The sequence below is a fragment of the Homo sapiens genome, chromosome 13, assembly GCF_000001405.40.
Source record: "Homo sapiens chromosome 13, GRCh38.p14 Primary Assembly".
In the NCBI taxonomy this organism is placed as follows: domain Eukaryota; kingdom Metazoa; phylum Chordata; class Mammalia; order Primates; family Hominidae; genus Homo; species Homo sapiens.
The window spans coordinates 112,977,042-113,003,084 of NC_000013.11; the positions used below are offsets into that span (position 1 = coordinate 112,977,042).

General features: G+C 58.6%; 1 protein-coding gene across 24 annotated transcripts in view, besides 3 other annotated features; it reads left to right on the forward strand.

Moving 5' to 3' along the window:
* The window catches only part of MCF2L (MCF.2 cell line derived transforming sequence like), a 205,408-nt gene that overhangs the window by 82,707 nt on the left and 96,658 nt on the right, over positions 1-26,043 (forward strand). For 4 of the 24 annotated variants that reach the window (NM_001438760.1, NM_001320815.2, NM_024979.5 and 1 more), the window contains exon 1: positions 24,673-24,942. The exons of 16 other annotated variants lie outside the window; for them this stretch is intronic. In NM_001438760.1, coding sequence (NP_001425689.1) covers positions 24,870-24,942 — 73 coding nt within the window. In that variant the 5' untranslated portion in view covers positions 24,673-24,869. Of the gene's footprint in view, positions 1-2,324; positions 2,718-7,445; positions 8,439-24,672; positions 24,943-26,043 lie in introns of those variants that run through there. 4 more of the 24 variants (XM_011537484.2, NM_001320816.2, XM_017020494.2 and 1 more) reach the window with 3 other exon arrangements.
* Positions 1,458-2,395: an enhancer, noted in NCBI's record as "H3K4me1 hESC enhancer chr13:113632813-113633750 (GRCh37/hg19 assembly coordinates)". NCBI's record gives its function as "activates a minimal SCP1, AML or CMV promoter by ChIP-STARR-seq in naive H9 embryonic stem cells {active_cell/tissue: H9 hESC(naive)}" and the evidence as "EXISTENCE:reporter gene assay evidence [ECO:0000049][PMID:30033119]".
* Positions 4,270-5,205: an enhancer, noted in NCBI's record as "H3K4me1 hESC enhancer chr13:113635625-113636560 (GRCh37/hg19 assembly coordinates)". NCBI's record gives its function as "activates a minimal SCP1, AML or CMV promoter by ChIP-STARR-seq in primed H9 embryonic stem cells {active_cell/tissue: H9 hESC(primed)}" and the evidence as "EXISTENCE:reporter gene assay evidence [ECO:0000049][PMID:30033119]".
* Positions 8,488-9,485: an enhancer, noted in NCBI's record as "H3K4me1 hESC enhancer chr13:113639843-113640840 (GRCh37/hg19 assembly coordinates)". NCBI's record gives its function as "activates a minimal SCP1, AML or CMV promoter by ChIP-STARR-seq in primed H9 embryonic stem cells {active_cell/tissue: H9 hESC(primed)}" and the evidence as "EXISTENCE:reporter gene assay evidence [ECO:0000049][PMID:30033119]".

Genomic DNA, 26,043 nt, shown 5'->3' on the forward strand with positions numbered 1-26,043 from the left:
GCACGGCGGCTCCCACCCGCATCAGCCCAGGAGCGCTGAATTTTAAATCACCCAACAGCTCATTTAAGACCGGCCCTAAACAACTCCCTACTCCACGACTAATGGAGTGGCTAATGTAAGACTCTTTTACTGCCAAAAATGATACCACTTACTGATATGGATTTCTTAACAGTAGCTTGGGGCCACATTGTATAAAATAGACTCCCGGGGTTCACAAAAGTCAACCCACTTCTCAGGGGCCCAACCATTCTCGAGCCTCCCTGAAGCCAACCAGCGGGGTGACAGGAAGAACTTGGATCTCACATGGGTTTTTTGTGTTTTCTCATGGAGGGGCTACCACGGAGCTTAGGGAGGAAGTGGCCCCCACCAGCCAGGAGAGGACGGCCGCGTTTTCACGATGGTCGCTGAAGCCAAAGCTTGTATGAGCTACATATAAGAAGAAATCAGCAGATCGTGAGTGAGGTTCATATCTCAGGATTAATTTTTGAAAAATGGTTTTAATTAGTAACATCTTTAAAACTATTTAGATGTTTAGGACATTGAATGATGAACGTCTGTGCACATCCAATCTGCGCAGCTGGAAGTGGCCCTGCTGTTCCGATTTCCTTGACTTCCTCAGCACCTTACCACGCACAAGGGAAGGAAAGGCAGAGAGAGAGGTTTGGTGTTGACCCCAGAGGCGACCCTGATGGCTCCCGTGCGCACCGCTCACTGCTTCCGTGAATACAAAGCCTGTCTGCGTCTGTCCTTGTGGATGAAACCAACATTTAGGGCTTGATTTCCTGGTTATTCAAAGAGGCCCTTGGAGGCTCACCTTAGGTCAGGAGTTGGAGACCAGCCTGGCCAACATGGTGAAACCTGGTCTCTACTAAAAATACAAAAATTAGCCGGGTGTGGTGGCGGGGGTCTGTAATCCCAGCTACTTGGGAGGCTGAGGCAGGAGAATTGCCTGAACCCAGGAGGTGGAGGTTGCAGTGAGCTGGGATCATGCCACTGCATTCCAATCTGGGGGATAGAGCAAGACTCTGTCTCCAAACAAACAAACAAACAAAACCAAAGAGGCCTGAGCTCTGGAAACACCACGCGAAATGCGCCATCTGTTTCCCCATTTTCATGTGAGTCAGGTTAGGGCTGACCTGTCCTGGGCTTGCACACAAGCCCCCAACAAAACGGGGTTCGTGGTCTCTGCTCCTGGGTGGCTGAGACATCGATCCCATCACCCTGCTTTCCTCTGTAGCTGTTTTGGGGGATGCAGCACAGACAGCAAGCGTCCAGCTGCTTCAGGGGACGGCAGCCTTGGGACCACCTTGTTGCGTCTGGCAGGTGGGTGTGGAAGGCAGGAGGGGGATGGTATGTGGAGCTCTGTCTTTCCTGGCAGAAGCTGGCTCTCAACACCTGTAGCTCTCAGAGGAGCAAACCCAGCACAGAACACTTTGAACAGAATCACTGTATTTGTGGAGGCTAATAGGACACCAAGGCGCCACCTCTCAGGCTGTGGAAGCAGCCTTTTCCTCTTGATGTCCCCGATGCCAGTGGGAGGACATGGTAGGCAGGGACCCTCCATACGTTCTGGGAGCGCCTGTGCAGGGTGGCAGGACGGGTGTGCACTCAGTAAACAATGTTGAATAAATGCCTTCTTTTGCTGCAAACCAGATGCGTGTTCTAATCACATCAGCTCACAGAAGGGCACATGTGGTGCTCCAGACAGCATGTGGGCTTTCACAAGCAGGCCTGAGCGCCAGCCCTGCCACCTTCTCTTCCTGTGGCCTGGAGCACATAACAATGAGTTAAAATGGCACTAGGCCATTTGCACGGCCTTGCACATCAGCTGTGAGGCCTGGAGCCCTGTGTGTGCCCAGCACGGTGCCCAGGGACTCTGAGAGCCTGAGGGTGGCACGTCACCTCGGGGGCCATTGGGAGCCCTGGATGCTGTCACCTCTCACCCCTCGGAAGCAGCCATGGGGCAGAGGGTGGGAGCTGCTGGCTTGGGACGGGCTCAACACCTCTTGGGGAAAAGCATCTCCGGCCACGCAAAGCAACCTCATCACTTCCTCCCTCGAGGAGCTCGGCAGCAGACGGGAGCCACAGGCGTGGAACTTCCCACTTTGTTTCAGGACAGCCAGCAGCACGTCCCTCCCTTCCTCTGGGTTTGTAGTTGTTTGTTTGAACTTGAGACTTCCTGAGGCCTGGAAGGTGTTTTTGGCTTGCTCCATAAGGCAAGGAGGTCCAGCCCACGCAAGCCCCCGCCCTGTTCGAGGAAGGAAAGGCCCAGAACTTGCACACAGCAGGCAGGCCCAGCGGCTGGGTTTCTCTAGCACCTCGGCATTGTCTGCCTGCTCTTCCAGGCGTGCAGGGCAGTGGTGGCTCGGGCCAGGCTCTGGGAGGCCGGGCACTCTGAGGAGGTGGCTCAGCCCTCTTGGGTTCTTTCTTGTGAGTTGGCGAAGCCCAGAGTCACCAGGGTCCTGAGCACCTGTCTCTTGTGACCATGCGGCACCCGCCCGGCTTTTAGCTGTCGCAGCAGAGACCCGAAGGCTGTGGCTCTAGCATCAGGGGGTCGCCTGTGGTCCCTGCGTGAAGAACCAGAGCTGCCTCCGCTTTGTAGCAGCCTTTGTGACAGGGCGGTTCGATGGCCGAGAAGGGAGCATCCCGGGGAACCCTGCGGCGGCTGTGGTCACTGCCCAGGAGGCGCCGGGGAACTGCAGGGCGCTCGAGGCCAGGTGAGATACAATGGGGTCGCAGGGCATGGGGGCAGGTGCTGTGTCCCCTCTGCAGGTGTCCTCTCTGCGGGCAGGTGCCTCCCTGGGGTATTTCTCTCACCACTTGACCAGCAAAAACCTGTGCAGCTCGGAGACTTCTTAAAAAGGTAGAGATAACTGCTGAGCATCCCACTCCAGGTCTGTGGGTCCAGTTTTCTTTGTTCATCTCTGGGTCGGCCCTGTCCTGCAGTTCTGGAACCTGGGCTTACGAATTTCCGCTCCGATTGGAAAGACGAGTGGACTCAAAGCGAGGGAAGCGGCAGTGGTGGGTTTAATGAGGCTCCCCGGGCACACGCGGTCTGTGGGCAGGTGGGTGTCCTTTGCATCACAAGAGGTGTGTTTTGGGTGGGATGAGGGTGCAGAGCTGTCACAGGCGTGGCCCAGGCCAGGTGGACCAAGAATGCCATTCAGGAACAGCACGTTTGCTCGGCCTGATGGAACAGCCTAAACTCTCACAAGTCACAGCCAGTGCTTTTGTTCACTTCAGAGGAGCAAGGGCATTCTGCTGGCTTGAGGGGGAGAAAGGAGCTTGTTGCTGATTTCCGCTCCATCCTGCCCTTTCCCCTGTCTGGCGACCTGGAACCACGGTGGGCTGTGGAACGTGGGGCAGAAGTTGGCTGGGGCCAGCCCCCACCCCTGCTTTGACTTGGCTCCCCACGGAGTTTGGGAGCATTTATTTCAGAGATGGATGGGCGGCGGCTGGGCATTGGCAGGTGGGCGTCAGGGAGAGGAAAGGGAGGCAGCGAACACATCCAGGCGATGCCTGACTGTCCTGGGGCTGAGCGGCGCCAGCCAGGAGGGCCACCATGCGCAGGAGAGCCTCTCAGGCTGCCGCCTTCCCCTTTCCCCCGCCTTCCCCTTTCCCCCGCCTTGGGCACGGACAGAGCCTGTAACACTGAGGAGGGCTGTGTCACTCACTGCCGGTCAGCTGAGCGTGCACCGTGTGGGTGCAAGTACCCCAGGGCTAAAATAACAGATCCCAGCCTCCCTCCGAGTCCACTGACATCCACCACAGCACCGTGTGAGGGAGGCAGCCAGGGGCTGTGCGTGAATCCCGCACACGCCAGGGTGTCCAGCGCTCCATTCACGCCCCACCACCCTCCCAAAGCTGAAGTCTTAAGACCCTGGACATGAGCACAGTGGGGGCTTGGAGATGGGGACCCCAACACATCCCCTTCCTGTGCACTGGGGACCCTGATACGTCCCCTTCCTGTGCACTGGGGACTCTGACACGTCCCTTTCCTGTGCACTGGGGACCCTGACATGTCCCCTTCCTGTGCACTGGGGACCCCGACACGTCCCTTCCTGTGCACTGGGGACCCCAAGACGTCCCTTCCTGTGCACTGGAGACCCTGACATGTCCCCTTCCTGCGCACTGGGGACCCCGACACGTCCCCTTCCTGTGCCTGAGAACTCCTGAGACATCCCCTCACTGTACATAAGGACCCCCAAGATGTCTCCACACCATGGGGTACCACCCTGTTCCTTGTGGGAGCAGGAGAATGCAGGAGCTACAGTGAACTTGTCCCTGTAACTCTCACAGCGACAGGGCCTCTCTGCGGTGGCAGTGTTGGGAGACGCGATGAGAGTGTCATCCGCTGTGAGTTCTGCGGTGCTCTGGTCCCCCGTGAAGACATCGTCCACGACATTCACACTCACTGAGCCACGTCCTGCCCTTGGCTGGAATGTGAGGGCGGTGAGACACCCCCATCCTGTAAGGAAGTGTGCACCGAGCCCTGGTCCCCAGATGCACCGAGCCCGTGGCATCTGGGTGGAGCGGCCTCCGCGGCACAGATCACCTGGGTGTAGTGAGAGGCAGACTCTGGGTCCCTGGGCCTGCGAGCCTGAGACCGGATGACCACCAGCTCCTGGCAGGGTCCACACCCCGAGGCACAGGCAGGGGGACGCATAGCCCAGGTGTGGGACCTCCTCCTTCAGGCCGGGCGGTGCGGGTGCGGCTCAGAGCCCAGTGCCCTCTGCCTCCTGTTGCCTGGGCCGCCAGCGTGACCCACCTGGCATGGACGCCTGGGGACTGAGCCTTGTCCGGCCCCCTCCCAGCCCTGGCTGTCTCCCTCGGCAGGAGCTCGGCACCCCGCAGGTTTTCTTCCCAGGATGTGCGTCTCCGATTGGAAGGTGGAGGAGTCACAGATGCCCCTTTGTGTTTCCAGGCCTGGACTGGGCAGGCCCCGGTCAGGGCTGGGGGAAGATGCTCAGCTCATGTTGGACCTGAAGGTTGTGGGAAACTAGGCCCGGAGTGCAGCAGTGGAGGCCTTGTCTGAGGGGTCGGGCAGTGGGGGCCCCAGCAGAGAGCATGGGGCCGACGAGGGGGACAAAGGGACAAGAGCTCAGGAGCTTTGGAAAGAGGTCTAGGGGCCTAGTGGGCTCCAAGGAGGGCAGAGAAGCCCCACGTACTCCTAGTAATGGAGGCCGTGCCCACCTCGTGAAGGGGATTTCTGAGCTGGGGCCGAAGGCACAGGATGTGGTGGCGTAGGAAGAGCAGTGATGGAGGCTTTCTCCAAGATGTTGGCCGTGCCGTGGAGAGGACTGGACGCTGGGCCAAGGGTGGCCGCATCCATGGGGCCTGGAGCCTGCGGACTGCAGGAAGCCACAGAGTGGGTGGCAGCAGGGGACCTAGGGATGGAGCGAGCCCAGGCTCCGTGGCAGGTGGCCGGGGGCATCTCCCCAAGGCTCTGCCCCTCTGCCCATCAGGTGGGAGGTGCGGCAGATGGGGAGTCTGGGGGGCCTCCTGCGGAGGAGGGTGTGCGCCACGGAAGGCTGCTGAGCCCTCATTGTGTCTGGTGGGAGGCGGGCGTCACAGCTGTGCCGAGAGGCCTGCTCTCGCGTGCTGTGGGAGGGGGGAGACGTGGTGAGGGAGAGCTGGGCAGGGACCATGCCGCTTACCCTCAGGACAGGGTGAGCTGTCCCAGCAGTGGCTGAGCCCGTGCTGCATAAGGGACTTGGCGTGATGTCTGTGATCGTGTCTGTGGTTGGAAGTGACGTCTGGGCTGGAGCTGACACCCAGCTGGAGCTGTGACAAAGGACAGGATGATCAGGGAAATTGCAGAGAACAAGGGCGAGGATGGAAGCTTGAGGGGCGCCGAGGTGTGGAGGGGGTGTCGGTGGAAGAACCCTCAGGAGCTGGGCTGGGGCTGGGGCTGGGGCGCAGCTCGTCCCCGAGTCCATGGTGGTGACGCTCAGGAGGCGCTGGTTCCAGTGGGGAGGTTGGGGAAAGCACTTCCTGATGCCTTTGGGTGTGGAAAGTGGTGGGGGCAGCCAGGCTGGTTCAGTGCAAGGCCTGAGGTGAGGTTCAGGTGCGGCCCACGGGCTGTGGCAGGGACGCAGCACTCAGCAGGTGCCTCAGGGTTTGTTGGAGGTGAGGGGGTAGCAGAGCCCCTCACACAGGTCTAGGTTGCAGGTTCATGGCAGCTGGGTAGGGACGGGAAGCTCCAGTAAGATTCACCATGGGATTTTTCACCAGAAACTCCTAGAAGTTAGTTCTGTGTCGTGAGAATAAAAAAGTTAACATGTCTTTGGCTTCCCATCTGCTGGGGAGTGTGCCCAGTGGCACTGCGGAAACCCAGGCCGGACCTCACAATTGCAGGATGAGCCTCCTCCCTTCTATCCGGCAGGTGGCCTTCTCCAGGCATTGCCCTGCACCTCGAGGGGCAGCGGGGCTTAAGTCAAGCTCTGTAAATGCGGCACCCGACGTCTGAGGCCCGCCACGCTGCAGGTTCCCATCTCCAAAGCCCGTGGTGCTGGGCACGGCAGAGCCGTAGGCGGAGACAGGGAGCCGGGAGGAGCGTCAGATGCCTGTGGCCTCTTTACAGCTCTGTCCCCTGCCTTATCTCGCTGGCTCTGCCCTTGGTCATCAGGATGTGAGGCGGTGACGGACACTTCAGTGCTCTGACGCACTGTGGCCCCGGGGAAGCGTGGTGTCTGCAGCCTCCTGGGCCTTCCCTTCTGCCTGGCTTCCTCCTCCTCCACCCGTCCACCTGTGTGTCTGGGTCAGGCTGGCTTCTGCATCTCTGTGGACAGACCTCTCCCCGTGCTGCAGCTGTTTTCCTTGGGTTGAGCACTGAAAAGAGCCCCTTTGGGTTAGGAGGCAGGTGGACTTCCACTCACATGGAGGAGGAGCCTCCTCTGCCCGGAGGAGACGGTGCTGGGAGAAAATGTAGCTGCAGGTGGAGATTTTCTGATAACCAAGAGTGGATGTTGTCTGTTTACTGAGTGGAGGTTGGGGCCGGTGCCAGGGTTGTCCATCTCCCCTCTGTCCTGCATGGCATGGTGGCAGAGATACCACCATACTTCAGAGGCAGCAGCACCCTCGCCGGGTGCCGGATCTCCCAGGGTCCACCTGTGCTGCCCTGCCCTGGGGTATTTGGAGCTGAGTTCCAATTAAGCCAAGAAAAACAGATTGTTTTACTTAGAATTTAGAAATTCTCCTTTTTTTTTTTTTGAGATGGAGTCTCGCTCTGTCACCCAGGCTGGAGTGCAATGGTGTGATCTTGGCTCACTGCAACCCTGCCTCCTGGGTTCAAGCGATTCTCCTGCCTCAGCCTCCCGAGTAGCTGGAATTACGGGTATGTGCCACCGCACCTGGCTAATTTTTTTGGTATTTTTAGTAGAGATGGAGTTTCGCCATGTTGGCCAGGCTGGTCTCAAACTTCTGACCTTATGTGATCCGCCCGCCTCAGCCTCCCAAAGTGCTGGGATTACAGGCATGAGCCATTGCGCCCGGCCTAGAAATTCTCTTCATAAAACGTGTTTGAGATTGGCACAGGAAGTTTCAAACAGAATCAGGATTCACCATAAGAAGCAGATAAATACATTTGAGGCACCCAGGGTGAGTGATCTCAGCGGAATTCCCCTTTAAGCTTCCTAGTAGCGCGTGCAAAAAGGAAAACGTGTGGATCTAAGACTGTGCACAAACAAAAGCTGTTCTTCTGGGAGGAACCAATCCCTCAGCAATCACACTTGACTCCCTCGAAGGAAAGCTGGAAGGGGAGAGGGCGTCAGGATGCAGGTCCCGGTGTCTCTGTGCAGCTCATCCTCCTTCAGAGGCCGCTCTGCTTCTGTCCATCCCTCCAATTGCCAGTGGTGTCAGCATTTGGGGCCGTGATCAGATGGAGGAAGACTGGCAAGCAGTCACCCCCGACAGGACTCTCTGGCTCAGCCTCCCCAGGAATATGCTGCTCCCCAGGCACAGCGGAAGACCTGCTGCGTTTCATCTTCCGGCTGCCTGTTTAAAGCAAGGGAGGCCATGCCCCCAGCGGGGTCCCTTGTGCCTGGACCCAAGGCAAGAATAGCTCAGGCTTGTTCCTTTTTCCTCAAGTTCCTCTCGGGCGGGCACGGTGTGTCGCCTGGACCTGCATGTAAACATCAGGGCGGAGCAGGAATCGGCCTCCAGGAGGGTAATTGCCTGGCGTACTCTGTCCCAGGTAGTGGGTGAAATGAAAGTAAAAAGCCAGCTGGTCCCTCATGCAGATTTTAGGGGACAAAGTTCAGCATAGAAAGGTCCTGTTACAAGGAGAGGGTTGTGGCGAGCCCAGGGCAGCGCGCGTCCTCCCCGGCAGCTGATCCTCGCCATGGGGGACGGAAAGGCTGTCCGGATTTCCGTGGCGGAAATGAAAAGCTACTACCTGTATTCTGAGTGGTGCTCCTGGCTGCTGTCCGTGGCTGAGGGTGAGTCTCCTCGTCCCCTGTGAGTCCCTCGCAGGTGGTGTGCTCGGAGCAGTCGAGGCGGCCTCTGGGTGAGGCAGCATGGAGGTGCCCTCTGTGGATGCCCCGTGCTCCACAGGGCAGTCTGTGTCCCCTGTGGAATTTGCAGTAGCTCAGGGAGTGGGGATGAGAAGCAAATGAGCTTTTCACCCTAAAGTTATCATCTGATCCTAATTTATGTCACAGTTACCAAAAGCAAATAACCTCCTTTTGTCTGGCAAGCCTGAGCCTCACAAACTGTGCAAACAGCTGGGGGCTCAGCCTGCACCAGGCTGCCCCGCGTCTTGAGAGCTCTGATGTCCCGGGGCCATGGCTGCAGGTGCAGGACAGAGACAAGGCCGTGACCGAACACTTTGCTGGTCCCCTTGACCATGGGACACCCGGTGACGTGCCTGAGGATCGGCCCCGGCACACCGAAGCCCGGTTTATGCAGAGCTTCCCACGGTCAGCCGTGCAGGGAGCTGTGAGCCCCGGCCACTCTTCCTCTTCCCGTCCCGTGGTCAGTGAGCCCCCAGGGCCGTGCGTGGGGCTGAGCAGGTCTCCTGCCTCAGAAGGCATTTCCTTCATTCCACCTCGAAATCCAGAAAATGCCCTGGAACAAGGGCTCGCCCCTTCACTGGCTGAATGCCATCTGTGTGTCTGCCTGGCATGACCTGCGGTCGGGGTCTGATCCTGCCTGTGAAGACACAGTCTCTGTGAGGATGGGGCCGCGGCCGGATGCCATGTGGCGCTTTCCCGGGGCCCAGAGTGCTGAGTCCTTGTCCTCAGAGTTGCAGCTTTGCTGTTTATAAAACTGCATCCACTCTCTTCTGAACTCACCCGTTCTGCAGATGAGGAGAGTCAGGAAGTCACGGAGAGAAATGCGCATCACAGGGTTGTCAGAGCGTCCCACGAACGGTGTGGGAGGACACAGCAGTAGACGTCAGCACCACCACCGCCCCATTCACACCTGGGCTTCCCCCAAACCTCCCACCTCCCCACGGTCCCACTGCCCTCGGAGGACCCACCGCACAGGGGTGTTTAAGACAGTGGCGGTGCTCCCGGGAGACCACGGGGTGTCTCTGAGGACAGGCGGTCCCCTGGGCCCCCTGGTTAGGACAGAAACGCAAGAGCCACGCAAACCTCTCTGTGACACTGGGGACCCCCTGAGGGAGGGAAGCCCCATCGGAGGGTCTGCTGGGCGGGCCTGCCTGCCTGTGGGTGGACACTGGGCCGAGGGTGCCAACCCTGCCCACGGGGCCTCAGTCCTGCAGCCGGGTCTGCACTGCGCCCTCACTCCCCTGCCTGCCTCACAGACCGTGGGGGCTCCCCCAACAGTGGCGCGTACGCTGCACTCTGCCAGGGCCGTCTAGGGTTCTCTCAGGACTGTGGGGATGCCTCAAGGGTGGCAGGAGCCACTTTTGGCCAATATGCAGTTAGATTTGATAAGAAAACAAGCTGGCGTCCTGCCCAAGGCTCCGGGGAGGTTTCAGGTGGGACTCGGAGCCAGTGTCGGAGCTGGAGCACATGAGGTCGCGGGGCCACAGCCACCCTGGGCTGCCGCATTTCCATCTCGGTGGGTCCTTTTACACAGATGGCACCCGGTGAACTCACTCAGTGGAGCTGCCTTTCCCTGAAGCCATTCCTTCACCCGGCTGCAGGGCCGCAGACAGCACGGGCCGCAGGGTCTCTGCAGCTTGTTCAGGTTCAGATTGGATGGGGTCCCAGAAGGCATCTCCCTCCACCTGCCCCTTCCAGCGCTTTCCCGAAACGCTGTTGTCTGCAGCCACGCAGAGGGTGGCGTGCGCCTGGAGCACACCTTGTGGACGCAGCCCAGGGCTCGTTGTCTGCCCCCTGATCCACCCAGCACAAGGTCAGCACCAGCACCCATTGGTCTTTTTCCTCTCTTGCTTTTCACTCACTGCTCACACTCCCTTCCTCAGACAAATTAAAACCAAGTCGGAGAGGCCCAGCAGGGGAAGCAGAGTTGGCCTTCTGCAGCCGCACAGTTGAGTCCTGGAGTTCAGAGATTTTAGCTGCTCTGCCCAAAACGGTCTGGCAGACTAAGGAGGAGGCCGGGTGTGAGGTCTCGGCCTGCGCTGCATGCAACGTTTTCACTTCCATGGTAGTGGCAGAGGAAAGGGAAGTCCTCCATACTGTGGCTTGCTGGTCTTTGCACGGTGGTGAGAGGGTTGGGCGTTGGGCTCCCTCGCCCCCATCCGGCCTCTCATCCCTGTCCAGGGCCTGGAAGGGGCCAGTGTGTGTCTGGAAAGTGTGAAGTCTGGCAGGGGTGTGGGAAGTACCCATGAGCACCATCGCTGTGGGCGGACAGTGATGGGATTGTCCCCCTCGTCACAGCGGACCTGTGAGAAATGACCAGAACTGACCCTGCCCAGCCCACAAGGGGACAGCCTCATCCAAGCAACACACACCCATTGTCACAGTTACTTGGAATCCTGCTCTATATTTTTGTTCTTCAGAGAAGGGGAAAAGGGCTGGGCATCAGAAGATTGCTCTGAATAAACAGTGTGTTTAGAAGAGAGTCACAGGGTCAGGCTGCGGGGCGAGGAGGCCTCCTTCTGGAGGTGCACATGCCACTCGTCTTGGGGCTGAGACCAGGAGTTTGCACCGATTCAGAGGGAAGTCGACGGCATCTGTGGCAGCGCACATGTACACACCGTGTGTGGTGGTGCAGCTGCCTCTGCCCGGGATGCATGATGCTCTCTGTGGTCCTCGTCTACTGTGTTTTTTTTTTTTAATTCTACATGGTGAGCCAAAAAGGTTGTTAAGCACCTTTGGGGTACAGCCCTGCCATGATAAGAATGTATTTCTAAAATAGTGGAAAGGAAAGTCGTGGAGAAGGCCAGCACCTGCCCGGTGTGGGGAGCAGGGCCCGGGCACGTGAACCTTTCCCTGCGGAGCTGGTGCCTGTGGGTGCACGGGTGTGGTGCGTTTTAATTCTCGGCAGCTCTGTGCGGCCTGGAGGGACGTTCTGTCCTGAGCAGGGGATGGAGCTACCACACCCGAGTCCTCCCTGAGCAGGGGATGGAGCTACCACACCCGAGTCCTCCCTGAGCAGGGGATGGGCTACGACACTGGAGTCCTCCCTGAGCAGGGGATGGAGCTACCACACCGGAGTCCTCCCTGAGCAGGGGATGGAGCTACCATGCCCGAGTCCTCCCTGAGCAGGGGATGGAGCTATGACACCGGAGTCCTCCCTGAGCAGGGGATGGAGCTACCACACCCGAGTCCTCCCTGAGCAGGGGATGGAGCTACCATGCCCGAGTCCTCCCTGAGCAGGGGATGGGCTACGACACTGGAGTCCTCCCTGAGCAGGGGATGGAGCTACCACGCCCAAGTCCTCCCTGAGCAGGGGATGGAGCTACCACGCCCGAGTCCTCCCTGAGCAGGACATGGAGCTACCACGCCCGAGTCCTCCCTGAGCAGGACATGGAGCTATCACGCCTGAGTCCTCCCTGAGCAGGGGATGGAACTACCACACCCGAGTCCTCCCTGAGCAGGACATGGAGCTACCACGCCCAAGTCCTCCCTGAGCAGGACATGGAGCTACCACGCCCGAGTCCTCCCTGAGCAGGGGATGGAGCTACCACACCGGAGTCCTCCCTGAGCAGGGGATGGAGCTACCACACCGGAGTCCTCCCTGAGCAGGGGATGGAGCTACCACACCGGAGTCCTCCCTGAGCAGGGGATGGAGCTACCACACCGGAGTCCTCCCTGAGCAGGAGATGGAGCTACCACGCCCGAGTCCTCCCTGAGCAGGACATGGAGCTACCACGCCCGAGTCCTCCCTGAGCAGGGGATGGAACTACCACGCCCGAGTCCTCCCTGAGCAGGACATGGAGCTACCACGCCAGAGTCCTCCCTGAGCAGGGGATGGAGCTACCACGCCCGAGTCCTCCCTGAGCAGGACATGGAGCTACCACGCCCGAGTCCTCCCTGAGCAGGACATGGAGCCACCACGCCCGAGTCCTCCCTGAGCAGGGGATGGAGCTACCACACCGGAGTCCTCCCTGAGCAGGGGATGGAGCTACCACACTGGAGTCCTCCCTGAGCAGGACATGGAGCTACCACGCCCGAGTCCTCCCTGAGCAGGACATGGAGCTACCACGCCCGAGTCCTCCCTGAGCAGGGGATGGAACTACCACACCCGAGTCCTCCCTGAGCAGGACATGGAGCTACCACACCCGAGTCCTCCCTGAGCAGGGGATGGAGCTACCACGCCTGAGTCCTTCCTGAGCTCTTAGACTCCATGCGAGTTCAGTGATGCTTTCTTTTCTAATTTGCCAATCTCTTAAACCAGCAGTCCCCAATCTTTCTGGCACCGGGGACCAGTTTCATGGAAGATAACTTTTCCACAGATCAGGGGTAGGGATGGTTTCAGGGTGAAACGGTTCACCTCAGATCATCAGGCATTAGATTCTCATAAGGAGCTCACAGCCTAGATCCCTCGCATGCACAGTTCACCATAGGTTCGCTCCTAGGAGAATCAAACGCCACTGCTGATCTGACAGGAGGCGGAGCTCAGGCAGTCCTCACTCACCCGCCACTCACCTCCTGCTTACCCCCTGTTCACTCACCTGCCGCTCACTTCCTGCTGTGCAGCCCGACCAGTACCGGTCTGTGGCTCGGGGCTTGCAGACCCCTGTGTTAAACCATTCAGATCTGTGGGAACCTTGTCTATCCTGAAAGTGCAGGAACTACCACACCCTTCGTCACTTTCTTATGTTTAAAGACCCCTGGAACTTACAGAATGTGGTGGCTACACCAGGTCCAGCCCTGTCGTGGGATATTTGTTCCAAACCCTGCAGTGTCAGGTAAGTTCGGGGACAGGAGACCACTTTGTCTTCACCCCAGAGAAGCCTGTTTTTCAAGGACAAAGTAAAGAGTGTGCTAAGCAAACCCAGTGCAAGTGCTTATCCCACATACGGTGCCTTGAGAAGTGTGACATAATAAACCACCCGGTGGCCGAGGCGGGGAGCAGTGGCTGGCAGAGACCCTCGCACAGTTTCCTTCAGAATCACATGGAGGGGTCTGCTCTTGCAAGGAGACCTTTGCTTTCCATGATTGCCAAGAGCAGTTCAGAGGACTTTCCACGACTTCTATGTACAGGCACGAATTTTCAGAAAACCAAACTGCTTTCTGTGTGGAGCTAAGAACAAATGAATTAGCAGAAGATGACAAAGGTCCCAGGGGTGCTTTTCTTCATCCCGTCCTTCTTCACTTACTTGGGAAGTGTGTGCCCAGCGTCTGCTCTGTGCCAGGCCAGGCCAGGCCCAATGCTGCAGGGAAAGCAAAGAATCAGTCCCTGTTCCCTAAACAACGGGCAGGGATGACCTGGGGTAAGGAGAACTGGCGTGCTTATCAGCTTTGAGGAGAGCGCAGCTGGCTGAATGCGCTCCTGAAAACCCGCTGCCTCCTCCCCTGAGCCACCACCCTGCAGCCATGTGACAGTAAACTAGGTGTTTGCTGGTACATTGTTGCCACAGAGACAAAAACAAAGAAAGCCTGCTCGGCCTCCGCCACCTGGCTCTGCACCTGGGGCTCTGTACCTGGGTCCAGCTGCTCTGTGGGGCCTGCAGGAGGGGACGGGACAGGAGCTCTCCTTCCAGGAAGCAGTCTCAGCTGAACTTGAGTGTGGCCACAGCACTGCCCTCACTGAGGCTTTCTGCGAAATCCGGCCGCCTGCCACCTGCTTCTGTTAACTTTGTACACGTTGTGTGGGACCTGATTCGCTGTGTTTTGGGGGGCATCTCCCGGGACCTGATTTGCTGTGTTTTGGGGGGCGTCTCCCAGGACCTGATTTGCTGTGTTTTGGGGGGCATCTCCCAGGACCTGATTCGCTGTGTTTTGGGGGGCATCTCCCAGGACCTGATTCGCTGTGTTTTGGGGGGTGTCTCTGAGGACCTGATTCACTGTGTTTTGGGGGGTGTCTCTCAGGATACGAACACCTTTCAGACACATTATCCAGTTACAGTACTCATTCCACAAGGAAATAATAGCAGATTTTTAAAGTGTGACTTCATTAGAACATTGGAAATTTTATTAGAAGTTGCTAAGTATTTCAAAAATCTATCAGAAGTTTGCAAATGATTTTATAAAGACAGACCCTCAAGATGACAGCTCAGGATGCAACTGAAATTTGCTTTTTTGAGTGTATTTGGCGTTTGCTGTTTGTGACCCTGATTTTCATGCTCTGCAGCAGTCTGTGCTCCCTGGCCGGGAAAGGGGGTCATTTGCTCAGAGCCAGGAGCCCTTCCCTGCGGGTTAAGTTACCGGAAGTCATGTCTGGCAGGGCAGGATTTGGCTGGTTCTGGTCTCAACCACAGCCGACTCCACAGGGCTTGGCCTATGTGGGATTCAGCCCACGAAAACAATTTCTTGTTAAAAGCACCTGTCTTACCCTCCCTAGTGATCTCACTGTATTTAAAATATTTATTTAAACAAGGCAAGTATTCCCTTTTTATTACAGGTTGAGTGCCCCAATTAGAAAATCCAAAATGCTCCAAAACCTGAAACTTTTGAGCTCTGACATGACATCACAGGTGGAAAATCCACACCTGACCCGACAGTCACAGTCAAAACTTATTTCATGCACAAAATTAAAACAGTGTATAAAATTACCTTCAAGCTACGTGTATGAGGTGTGCGTGAAACATAAATGAATTTTGTGTTTAGACTCGGGTCACGTCCCAAATGTCTCATTATGTATATGCACATAGTCCAAACTCTGAAAAAAATCCAAAATCCGAAACATTTCTGGCCTTAAGCATTTTGGATATGGGATACCCAGCCTGTAGGAGATACTTGGCCATGTTTAGTGGGAGCCAATGGATGTATACCTAAGAATCTGCCTAAACCTCGACCGTGCTTCCTGATGTCATGAGGCCCAGTCGGAATGTGCCCGACTTCCCCATCTCAGTGAGGGCAGTGGAAGGGGAAGCCGTGCTCCTGTGGGGAGAGCCACCACCCACCCAGGTGCTCCAGACGTTCCCGCCGTGCGTCTGTGGTGGCCACGTCTCATCCTCAGTGGCTGCACGTCTGTTCCTTGGGAGTGGATTAGGGAAATAAGCGTGGCCTGTAGGAAGCTGAGTTTGAAGCAGTGAGCTGGGCCCACTGAATAATGATGTGGAAGCTTCTCAGCCCAGTCTCGTTTTTGTGAAATGGACACTGAATATTCTAGCTGGGGAAAGGTGGAACTTGGCACTTACGTAACTTACCCTTCTCCCCTTGGTGTTTCGTAGCCAATCATTTTTATTGCATTAGGTCTCCTATACTGTAAATCTACAGAACATCGGGAACACTGAAAAGTTCACCTCAGTTCTGGCTTTAAAAGCACTGACTTTCACATTATATTTGAGCTAGGACAAAAGAAAACATTTCTCTGCAATGTGTGTTCATCTCGTAAGGGTGTCTACACTGAGGTCAGACCCTGGTGCAAACCCCAAAATACTTACAGTGGCAGCCCCGGCTCAGTCTCTGCCAAACGTGCGCGGGCATCAGGCAGGAGTCCATGGGCCATGGGGGTGAGGAGAGAGCGGCTCGCTGCCTTGAGAAGCTCCCGCTTCTGCAGTAAGGTGGCTTTTAAGCCAGAGATTACCACGCGCTGCCGCGGAGGGAGAGGTAGCGCGGGGCATGGGGAGGCCACAGAGAGGCTGTACTGACAGAGGCTGGGGGAGGATCTGGTGATGGAGACACGATGGCACAGCCCCGGTGAAGCCACGTGATGTCTTCGTGTGAACATGGTGGCGGGGGAGCGCCGGGCACACAACATGGTGGGTGTTCCTGGGCAGAGGCTTGGTGGGCAGTAGGGGCCGACCTGAGGGCTCTGGGGTCAACACCGGTCCAGGAATTTGACTGTTAGCCACAGAGACCGCCAGGAGGGCTTTTAGGAGATATGTGAAATGAGACTCAGCTTTCAGCAAGGAAATCAGGGAGCAGGTGGCAGTCGGGAGGGACTGCATGGAAACAAGTGGCTTAGGACCACCCTAGTCGTTCAGGCGTGGGATGAGGCTCCAGGATCGCAGCCACAGAAGTGGCAGTGGGAGGGGAGGGGGAGGGTGCCTGGAGAGAGGTTTCAGGGCAGGAGGGACGGGGCTTAGGGATGTTTCTTGGAGAGAGGGAGCGAGAAGTCATCGTCAATGGCCCCACGATGTCAGGCTTGGAATTTGGGGTGGACGGTGGTGCCATCAGTCAAGAGAGACTTCAGAGGGAGAGGTTAGGTGATCCCATCCCATTTTAGCACCAGAAGTGGCTGTGTGAGCTGGGAATGGGGTCCTGGGTGAAGATGACACCACAGATACCTTGGAGATCTGCCTCCAGTTAAGAGACGTGTTTGCCTCCTGGGTGGGTAGGATTTTCCCCTCCCTTAGATCGGAAGGCGAAGAAGGTGAGATCCACAGCTCGATTTCCCTTCAGATAAAAGGCACAATCACAACAGCAGCAAACACACCTTCATTTTAAAGACAGCAGAGGAGGGGTGGGGTGGGAGGGCAGTACCCAGGACAGGGTCCCAGCCGACCCTCCGCCTTCGTCTTTTTCCTGATTAAAAAAAAGCACCTTCATGCGGGGTGCGGCGCTTGGGACCCCCCAAGCTGACGTCACTGTCTGTGCCGGTGTCTCGGGCAGGGGCAGGTGTGGATGCCAAGCTGACGTCACTGTGCCAGTGTCTCGGGCAGGGGCGTGGCTGCCAACGGGGCACGGTGCGTGGGATGCCAAGCTGACATCACTATGCAGGTGTCTCGGGCAGGGGCTGGCGTGGCTGTCGGCGTGACGGGGCGCGGCGCGTGGGACGCCAAGCTGACGTCACTGTCTGTGCCGGTGTCTCGGGCGGGGGCCAGTGTGGCTGCCAATGGGGCAAGGTGCGTGGGACGTCAAGCTGACGTCACTGTCTGTGCCAGTGTCTCGGGCAGGGGCTGGCAGGGCTGCCCAGGAGGCTGTCGGTGGGGCAGTTCCTCATGAATCTCTGAGCTGAGTTTGTAAAAGTGTGTGAGAGTGGGGAAAATATGGGTGAAAATATTTTCAGACATTTGGATTCCCCTTTGGTGAGCTGTCTCGTTTCTTCCCGCTGGTCAGGGATGTGGCTGCTTGAACAGCTGGGCGCGGTGACCAATGTGTGGAGAGCCGGGAAGCCTGCGGTGAGGCCGCGCGATGTCCTTCATCCCGGGCAGTAAATCCAGCCCCGAGGGTGGGGCATCCTCCCGGGCACAGGCTCTCCTGCCTGGGGTCGCCGCTGCGGGCAGGACATATGGGCCTCCCAAGCGGTCCCATCTACACAGGTCGGGTAGAGTGAGTCGGAAAGGCCACCGAGGTTGGGGGCTGCGCAGCCAGTGGGCTGGGCTCAAACCCAGGCCTGCGCTTCCCCTGTGAGCCCAGGCAGCCCTCGACCTGTGTGTGGCTCGGTTTTATCGCCCAAAAAGGGGAACAACGCCTGCGTCCGTGTGCACCGGGCTGCGGAGACTTCCCCAGGTTTGGCTCCAGGACGGTCCCCAGGGGCGCCTCCCTCCATCCCCTCCTGTCCTGTCACCTTTCTGCACACGGTGTCGCATCCTCTGACCTGCGTGGCACTCACGTGTGTCTGCCCCTCCCGTGTTCTCCTCTCCAGGATGCGGCTGTTTGGTGGCACTCCGCTGTGTCGAGGCACTGTGCCCGTGCCCCGGGCTCCCCTCGTTTTACAGACTCGCTCACGGAGGCTCAGGGCGTCTCTGAGGGCACGAAGCTCATGTCAGCCAGCAGAATGGGGATGTAGACCGGGGCTCGCTCTCGAGCCTGTCCGCCTCCTGAACATGCCTGTTTGCTGAGCATATGATTAAGAGAAAGAAGGAAAGAGGGTCCATTTGAGAGCTTAGGGCAGCGCCCAGTATACCGTCAGCACTAAGCTGTATGAGAGCTTAGGGCAGCATCCAGTATACAGTTGTGCTTAGTACGTGTTGGCACTGCAACTGCTGTCCTTGCCGCTGTGTGAGCTGCTGCTGGGTGGCAGTGTCTCAGGGCTGCCACTTCTGCCCCAGGAGAGCAGAGGGGAGCTGGCGGCCGAGGTGGGGTCGGTGGTGGGGTGAGCCTGCGGCGTTGTGGCTCCAAGGCCTGCTGGCCTGAAGTCACCCCCGGGATGTGCCCCGTGTGGGACCGTGCGGGATGCAGGGAGGAGCGTGGCTCTGGGTGTGGAGGTGGCGGGCTGCTGGCATCCTGTCACCGAACCCTCCTTCCACAGGAACGGGGGAATGAGTGGGAGAGCAGTGGGAGAGTGTGCCCTCTCCCCCAGACTCCTCTCTCCCTGTGGCATGAGAAGGGTGGGATCTGGCTTACCAGGTGAGTGAGCAGGCGTGGCCCGGAAGTCCGTTCAGTCCTGGGCGCACCCACAGGAACTGACATCCGCATGCCAAGCAGCACCTGGCGGCCACCGGGGAGTGATGCCGGGTGCAGCCTTTACATTCATCCCAAGCACAGTACAGCCCTGCCCTCACCCCATGCCAGGCTGACTTTCACCAGATCCAAGCCTGACGTCTTCTCTCCACATAGTCCCGAGTTCCCCTCCCAGGGCCCCATTTAGAGACCTCCCCTTTTCCCGAAGCCACCAGACTCATGCAGTCTCCAAGGCTGGGCTAGCCCTCGTCATCTTCTAAGGTTATCCTACATCACAAAGGTAAATGGCATTTAAAATAAAATGTAGGCCAGGCTTGGAGGCGTGCACCTGTAACCCCAGGAGACTAAGGCGGGAGGACCACTTGAGCTCCGGAGATCAAGGCTGCAGTGAGCCGAGATCGCATTATTCCACTCCAGCCTGGGTGACAGAGCGAGGCCTTGGCTAGAAAAAATAAATAAAAGGCGTTGACTTTAGAGAGTTTCTGACAAAAGAATGGAAATGTTTCTGGTCCCTGCATCTAGCCAGCTGTAGTGACCCCGACACGCCAGGATGGGCCGTGCTACCCTGGGCTATGTGTGCAGCGGGGCTGGGACGGGCCAGGCTCGACCTGTGCTGTGATTTTCCACCCAGAACGTCGCAAATGTTTCCCACCATGTGGAACGTCTGTTGGGGAAATGGTGTTCCAGAGTGTGCAGTGCCCTTCAGAGGCCCTGCGTCTCCATCTTTTCTCCACGGCATCCTGCGACCGTGCTCCTCAGGTGTGCCCCACGGGCCCGGGAATGTCCTTCTTGGATGCGCCCGATGGTCCCGAGACTGTCGTCCTCAGATGGGTTCATGGCCCAGGATGGCATCCAGGCTCCTGGTGAGCCCTGTGGGTGGAGACCTGGTGCCGCCCCTCCTCTCTCCTGAGTCCTGATGGCTGGCAGTGCCGCCCACGGCACCTGGACGGGGGCTGTGTTGTGTTGTCTGCATCTGTGCACAGCTGAGCCCCTGCCTAGGATCCTCAGCTGCTTTCTCTGGCTTCACCACCCCCATGAAACTCCTGCACAGATCTGGACGCACCCTGGCAGCTGCTGGGCCAGTCCCGCCCTCGCTATCTCAGGTGTGGCCGGGCAGCTGTGGGAGCTGGGCCTAGGCGGGTGCTGCTGCCAGCCCCGGGCCGCCCTCGCCTGCACTGCTTTCCCAGCTGAGCGGCTGCTTCCCGTGAACGGAGGGACTCTGAGATCATCTCGTCCTCACGTCTCCATCTGGGGAGAGCAACTTCCCAGCTCAGTGGCAGACCCAGAGCCCCAAATTCCCATCGAGAGCCTCGGGTGAGTCTTGAGACCAAGACCACTGTGGGTCTGGCCCAGGAAAACACACTGCCCTCTCTCTGCTGCACTGAACCCAGGCAGCAGATGCCATCTGCGCTTCCAGGTTTGCGATGGGGTTGCTGCTGACGCCCCTGTGCAGGGTGGGAGCCGAGGAGCTGGCAGACAGACTCTCAGAGCAGTGTTACACAGGCAGCTCCTGCAGACACCTGTGTAGACATCCACGTCACCCATAGCTGGGACCCCGTACGTGGACAGCAGAGTGGGGGGCATGGGTGTCACTGACCTTTGCCCCGTGTCCACTGTCCCTTCAGCCCCAGCCACCTGGTGAGCCGCGCCCTCTGCATCTGCTGCTACAGAGGTGTTTTATTTGACTTAAGGTTTAGCTGTTTGCTTTGGCAGCAGGTCCCACCCCACAGCCTGATGGCTCCAGACAGGGCTGACCAGGTTTGTAAAATGAAATTGTCCATCCGGGAGGAGGAGAAAGCAACCCCCCATCCAGGTCGGTCACCCCACCCTCGTCCGTCACACCTGGTGCCATCACTCCCACAGCTCCTTGGGGTGGGAAGCGATGGGTCGAGTTCCTGCTGGACACGGGCCTCAGGCCCCCCGGGTGTCCCCAAGGTGCAGGGACCAGCGTGGTGACGCTCATTGTTCAGAGCTGCTGATCTGGGGCTGGCGTGTGTGGTTTCCTCTCCAGGCAGGGAGCACCTTCCTGTTTAACTGATTGGGACAGGGCAGGAGTGGGCTCTTGGCTGAGGTGCTGGGCCTGCCCGCAGCAGCAGCTGTATGAAGCCGGTGCGTCGGCTCTGTGCCCTGCGTGAGCCCATGTGTGCGGGGCCTTTGTGTTGCACTTCACTGAGGGCCCCGGGGTCCACTGGGCACCTGCTGGGCTCAAACTGCAGTGCCTGGGCCACTTTCCATCCTGTGTTCCGAACCCCGTGCACAGCGCAGCTCCTAGACACGGTCATTCATGTAATTTCTAGGCACATTTGTAAAGCACAACACACAAATAAAAGGTAAGGGCCAAATAAAGCACGAAGTCTCCTCACTGCTGTTCTTGGGAAGGCAGAACTTAAACGTGTGAAAAAGCTGGAAAACAGCATACCAAATACAACAACTAGAAACCCAGGGCCCTGGCATGTCAGGGAAGGGGGAGCTCAGAGCCAGGCCAAGCGTGAGGAGGCCGTGAGCCACAGGCCTGGCCGGGGCTGTTGGGGAAATGGGCTGGGGACATTTCTGGAGGGTTCCGGAGGGTCCTGGAGGCCTCACCAAGGAGGCTGGAGTGATTGGTTACATTATTCATGGAGCTGACTGGGCTCCCAGGACGGGTCTGAAATCACACCAAAGGGAAGCCTGCAAGAAATCACAAGAAATGTGCTTTCCTGGGGGATGGGATGGTCGTGTGTTCAAAATGTGTGTCCCTGGGGAACGGCTGTGTGTCTGGCATCGACTTGGCCTGGACTTGGCTTCTCTACTGCGCTCCCGATCCCAGGTGTGGGGTCGATTCTGTCTTGCGCCGATTGGAGGCCTCTGCTGTGGGTGTGGTTTCACGTGCACTGTCTCTGGCTAAAGGTCTAGGTGCTTGGAACAGCTTTTATGAATCGGAAACTGGACAGAAACCAGCCTGAGGCCGTGCGAGCTCCCACGGCCCTTGGAGGAAAGCTGTTTCCCATCTCCAGCCAGAGAAGCTGCAGGGATGCCTTTGGCCTTGACTTGGTCAGCAGGGAGCTGGAAGGGTCAAGAGCTGTGGGTGGGGAGCCCTCAGTCTCCTGGACTGAGTGAGAAACGGTGGGTGAGCAGCCATGGCCACAGCGATGAGCCCGGGATGGTTTCCCGTGTGTGGTTCGGGCCACGTGTTCCGGCCTCTGATGGGCATTACTGTGGCCCCCCAGGGACACAGAGCAGGGCCAGCCCTCCCTGGCACAGGGCCATTGTGAGCCAGTCCCTCCTGAAGATGGCCAGGTCCTCCCCGGCTTGGGGCCAGACCGCCTGGGTCTGCCCTATGGTGACTGTTGCGTGGCCCCCTTGCTTGTTGAGCAAATCCATGAGACTCCACTGTGTACCCTGAAGGAGCACAGCCTTTGCCCACCAGAAACTTCAGTGTGACAAGACATCGGGGGCCAGGAGAGACGCACAGAAGAGGGGAGCAGCTGATTTCTCGGGGTCCTTGCATCTGTACCAGGGGCCCCTCCTTCCCCACACGACGCCCTCTCCTTAGAGGACAGCCTCTGGCACCGCTCACTCACTGTCCCTCTGTTTAAAAACTGAGGCCCTTCTGTGAGAGCCTCCTGCTCAGAACACAGTCCTCTTTTTCGGCTGATCTTTGCTCACTCCATCTGCATCAGCCGCTGTACGGCTGGCTGCCTGAGACGTCCCAGCCCTCCGTGTCCTCCAGTGCTGGGAGCACCGAGGGAGGAGGTGGGCCTTGGGCCTCGGGGGTCTCTGCAGGCCTTGAGCACATTGTGGGAGAGGGGGTGTTTGGTACATGTGTCCCAAGCCTGAGGCCTCTGGGCGTGCTTTGCTGTTGGGGGTTGGAAGCTGGAGGTGAGGACACGTTGGACTGTGCTCAGCTGTGAGGGGACCCACCGTGTGGCACCGTGATCTGCTCCTGTGCCCCTGCCGCCTGATAATGTAGGAGTTGTGCCTGCAAAACATGCTTCGGACATTAGAGTCGGCTGGGAATGAAGATGCCTGCAGGCCCCAGAGCACAGGCAGGGCTGAAGTGCGGGCGGCGAGTGGGCTGGGAATGAAGACACCGGAGGGCCCCAGAGTGGAGGCAGGGCTGAGGCACAGGTGGCGAGTGGGCCGGGAATGAAGACGCCGGCAGGCCCCAGAGTGGAGGCAGGGCTGAGGTGCAGGTGGCAGGTGCATCGGCTGGTGCCGTGGTGACGGCGTGAGGGGCCATGATGCCGTGGCCTCCCCCGGGGCTCGTGTTCCAGGGATAGCTCATCTGGGATGCGTTCTGACGGTAGAAGATAGGAACACAGAGATCCCAGACACAGGAGGTCTGGGTCAATGTGCACAGCCCAAACCTGCTGTGGCTCAGGGGGCAGCTCACACCGTGGGTACCAGCCAGCCCTAGGTCCAAACTTACAGGGAAGGATGGCTGGGCTGGGGAGGACAAATAATTATGGATGGACATCACAGCCCCTCGGTGGTCGTGAGTGGGTGCAGAGGGGCTTGCAGAAGCGACATTCCTGCCCCAGGGATGAGGCTGCCTCTCAGAGGACCCAGGCGTGGAGGAAGCAGTGGCCCCTCTTAGGCATCCCTCCCCTAAGTGTGTGCAGCGTGGAGATGAGAGTCTTGGCCCAGGAGGAAGAGTGAGCTTCCAGACTTAGCTTTGGTGCTTGTCAGCGCAATCATGGCTGCAAGAAAAGCCTCCATGGCTGATGTTCCCAGAGGCAGGGCCTGGCGAGGCCACGCTTTCCTCTCCAGCAAGCGTTTGGACCTGAGGGAGCCGAGGTTTCCAGAGGCAGGAGCCAGGTGTCTGGCATTTGGGGTCAGCCACCCCCAGAAGCCGGTGTTCCCAGCGGGAGAAGCTGAAGCCTGGAGGGCTGGCTGTGCTGTGCTGGGCACACGCAGGGCAGGAGTCAGTGCACATGTAAGGCTCTGCGGAGAAAGGCGCCGGAAGAGGCCGGGGCCAGCAGGGACATAGCAGGCCGGGGTCCCACCCAAACCCAGCACCCCTCCCAGGCCTTCTCGGCTGGGGCTGACTCCAGCAGTGGGTGTGATATTCTCAGGAGATGTGCGTTGACTCCAGCACTGGGTGTGATATTCTCAGGAGATGTGCGTTGGTCCCCTTAGCTCCTTGGGATTTTCGGCTCAAACTCTGGGCCTGGACAAATGGTCTCAGGTAACTTGGGAGCTCGTCAGGGACAGAACCTGAGTTTGAACGAGCTCTCTGTGGGACTCCCACCCAGGGCAGCGGTTAGGAGCCCCCTCCTGGACTGCCAGTTTTCAAGTGACGTATTTAAGTATCCCCCTCCCGGTCCTGGAAAAGTAGAGAGGCAGCCGGGAGCCTGCCTTCTGTGTTCTCGGTGCAGGGGTATTCTGAGAACGGCCCCTGCTCACACGGGTTTAAAAGGAACTCAGTGACCACAGACGGATGAGAACAGCGGACGCAGCTGCCTCCCAGGCACTCAAAGGCTCAACTCCCCACAGGCGTGTGTTGCCAGGGGCAGAAGGCTTGGCCCCTGGGTCAGCATACTCTCCGGACAGCTCATCCCTGCCAGCCCAGGTCCCTGCAGCCCTGGGGCTAGCACAGGGGATGCGGACCTCGGCCTAGGTCCCCACAGCTGTGGGGCTGGCTCGGGGGACGGATCTCTGCTAAGCATGGCCCCTGCCAGCTCAGGTCCCTGCCACTCAGTGGATGGGACTTTGGCGGAGTGTGGGGCCCCTGCAGGGAGGGTCTAGACAAGCAACACCAGGAACCTGAAGCCTCCCTGGCCGGGGCTCAGCTGTCGCCAGGATCGCAACAGTTAAGCTGCCTGCAGCAGGATAAGTGAGCCGATGCTGCTCCTTAATCAGGGACATCGAATCGGAGGCCCTGGGAGGAGCAGCCGGCTGGCTGCCCTGCAGAGGCCAGGTCTGCCCAGCAAACCCAGGAAGGTGTGGCGTCCCCGCTTCGCGGCCAAGATGGTGCTGGTGCTGCGCCATCCTTTGTGTGCCCGGGAAGGGCGTTCCGGGAGCCGGGTCGGGGGCTCCTGACTCGCACTGGGCAGCATGACGGTGCGCCGGCTGTCACTGCTGTGCCGGGACCTCTGGGCGCTGTGGCTGCTGCTGAAGGCCGGCGCAGGTGCGTGGGGCGCGGGCGGGTCCTCGCCTCCCCGGAAGGTGTTGTGGGGCGACAGTGCGGGGACGCCGGGCGGGGGTGGACGTTCTGGGCCCAGCCCTGTCCTCAGAGGCTGCTGGGGCAGAAGCCCGGGGCTGGGGGATGCCGGGGATGGATGTTGGGGTGGGTGCCTCCGAGACCAGAGGAGCCCTGTTCCTTGGCAGGGAAGGTGTGCACGGGCCTTGCCCGATGGATGGTTTAGGGCCATGGCCCTGGGGTCCCTGGTGAGCAGTGGGGCCGCCTCTGCCCTTGGCCTGTGAGGGACTGTCTGTGCTGGTCCCAGAAGGCTGGGATCACCTTTCCACTGGCTCCTTTGTTCGAGGTTTTTCATAGACAGGCTATGTGGACAAATGAGGGCAGCGCCCACGTCTGGCTGGTGGAGGGGCTGCGGCTCCTCCTTGGAGGGGACGCCTGGCCACTGCTGTCCCCACAATGGGGCCACCCGTGGTGCAAGGCGTGACAAGCTGCCCTCTCTAGGTAAGCAGGACTTGGGAGGCCCCTGGCCAAGCCTGTGGACCCGGCTGGGCGGCCTCTGTGGTCTCAGGTTTGGGTGTGTTTGGTCTGGTCAGGGCTCAGGGGCTGCTGGTCCACACTGGCCCCATCCTGACAATTGGAGCTTTGGGGCAAGGTCCCTGGAGAAGGGGTCACGTGGGGAGGAAACAGCCTGGGTTTTGTTGATGCTTTTCTAAGAATGGAGTACTCGTTTTCAAGAGATTTGTCCTAATTATATTTTCCAGCGGGTACTTATGCCAAGTATTGATGAATAATTCATAAAATAAGCATCTTTGTGAATTTTAGTGAATCAGACCTTAACTATCAACGGCAATGAATGAACATCTAAAGTTTCCAATTTTAAAGTAAAGAACTGGCTGGGTACAGCAGTTCACGCCTGTAATCCCAGCACTTTGGGAGGCCAAGGCTAGAGGATCGCTTGAGCCCAGGAGTTTGAGATCAGCCTGGGCAACATACCAAGACCTCATCTGTTAAAAAAAAAAAAAAAAAATTAATAGGCTGGGTGTGGTGGCGTGTGCCTGTAGTCCCAGCCACCTGGGGGGCTGAGAGGGG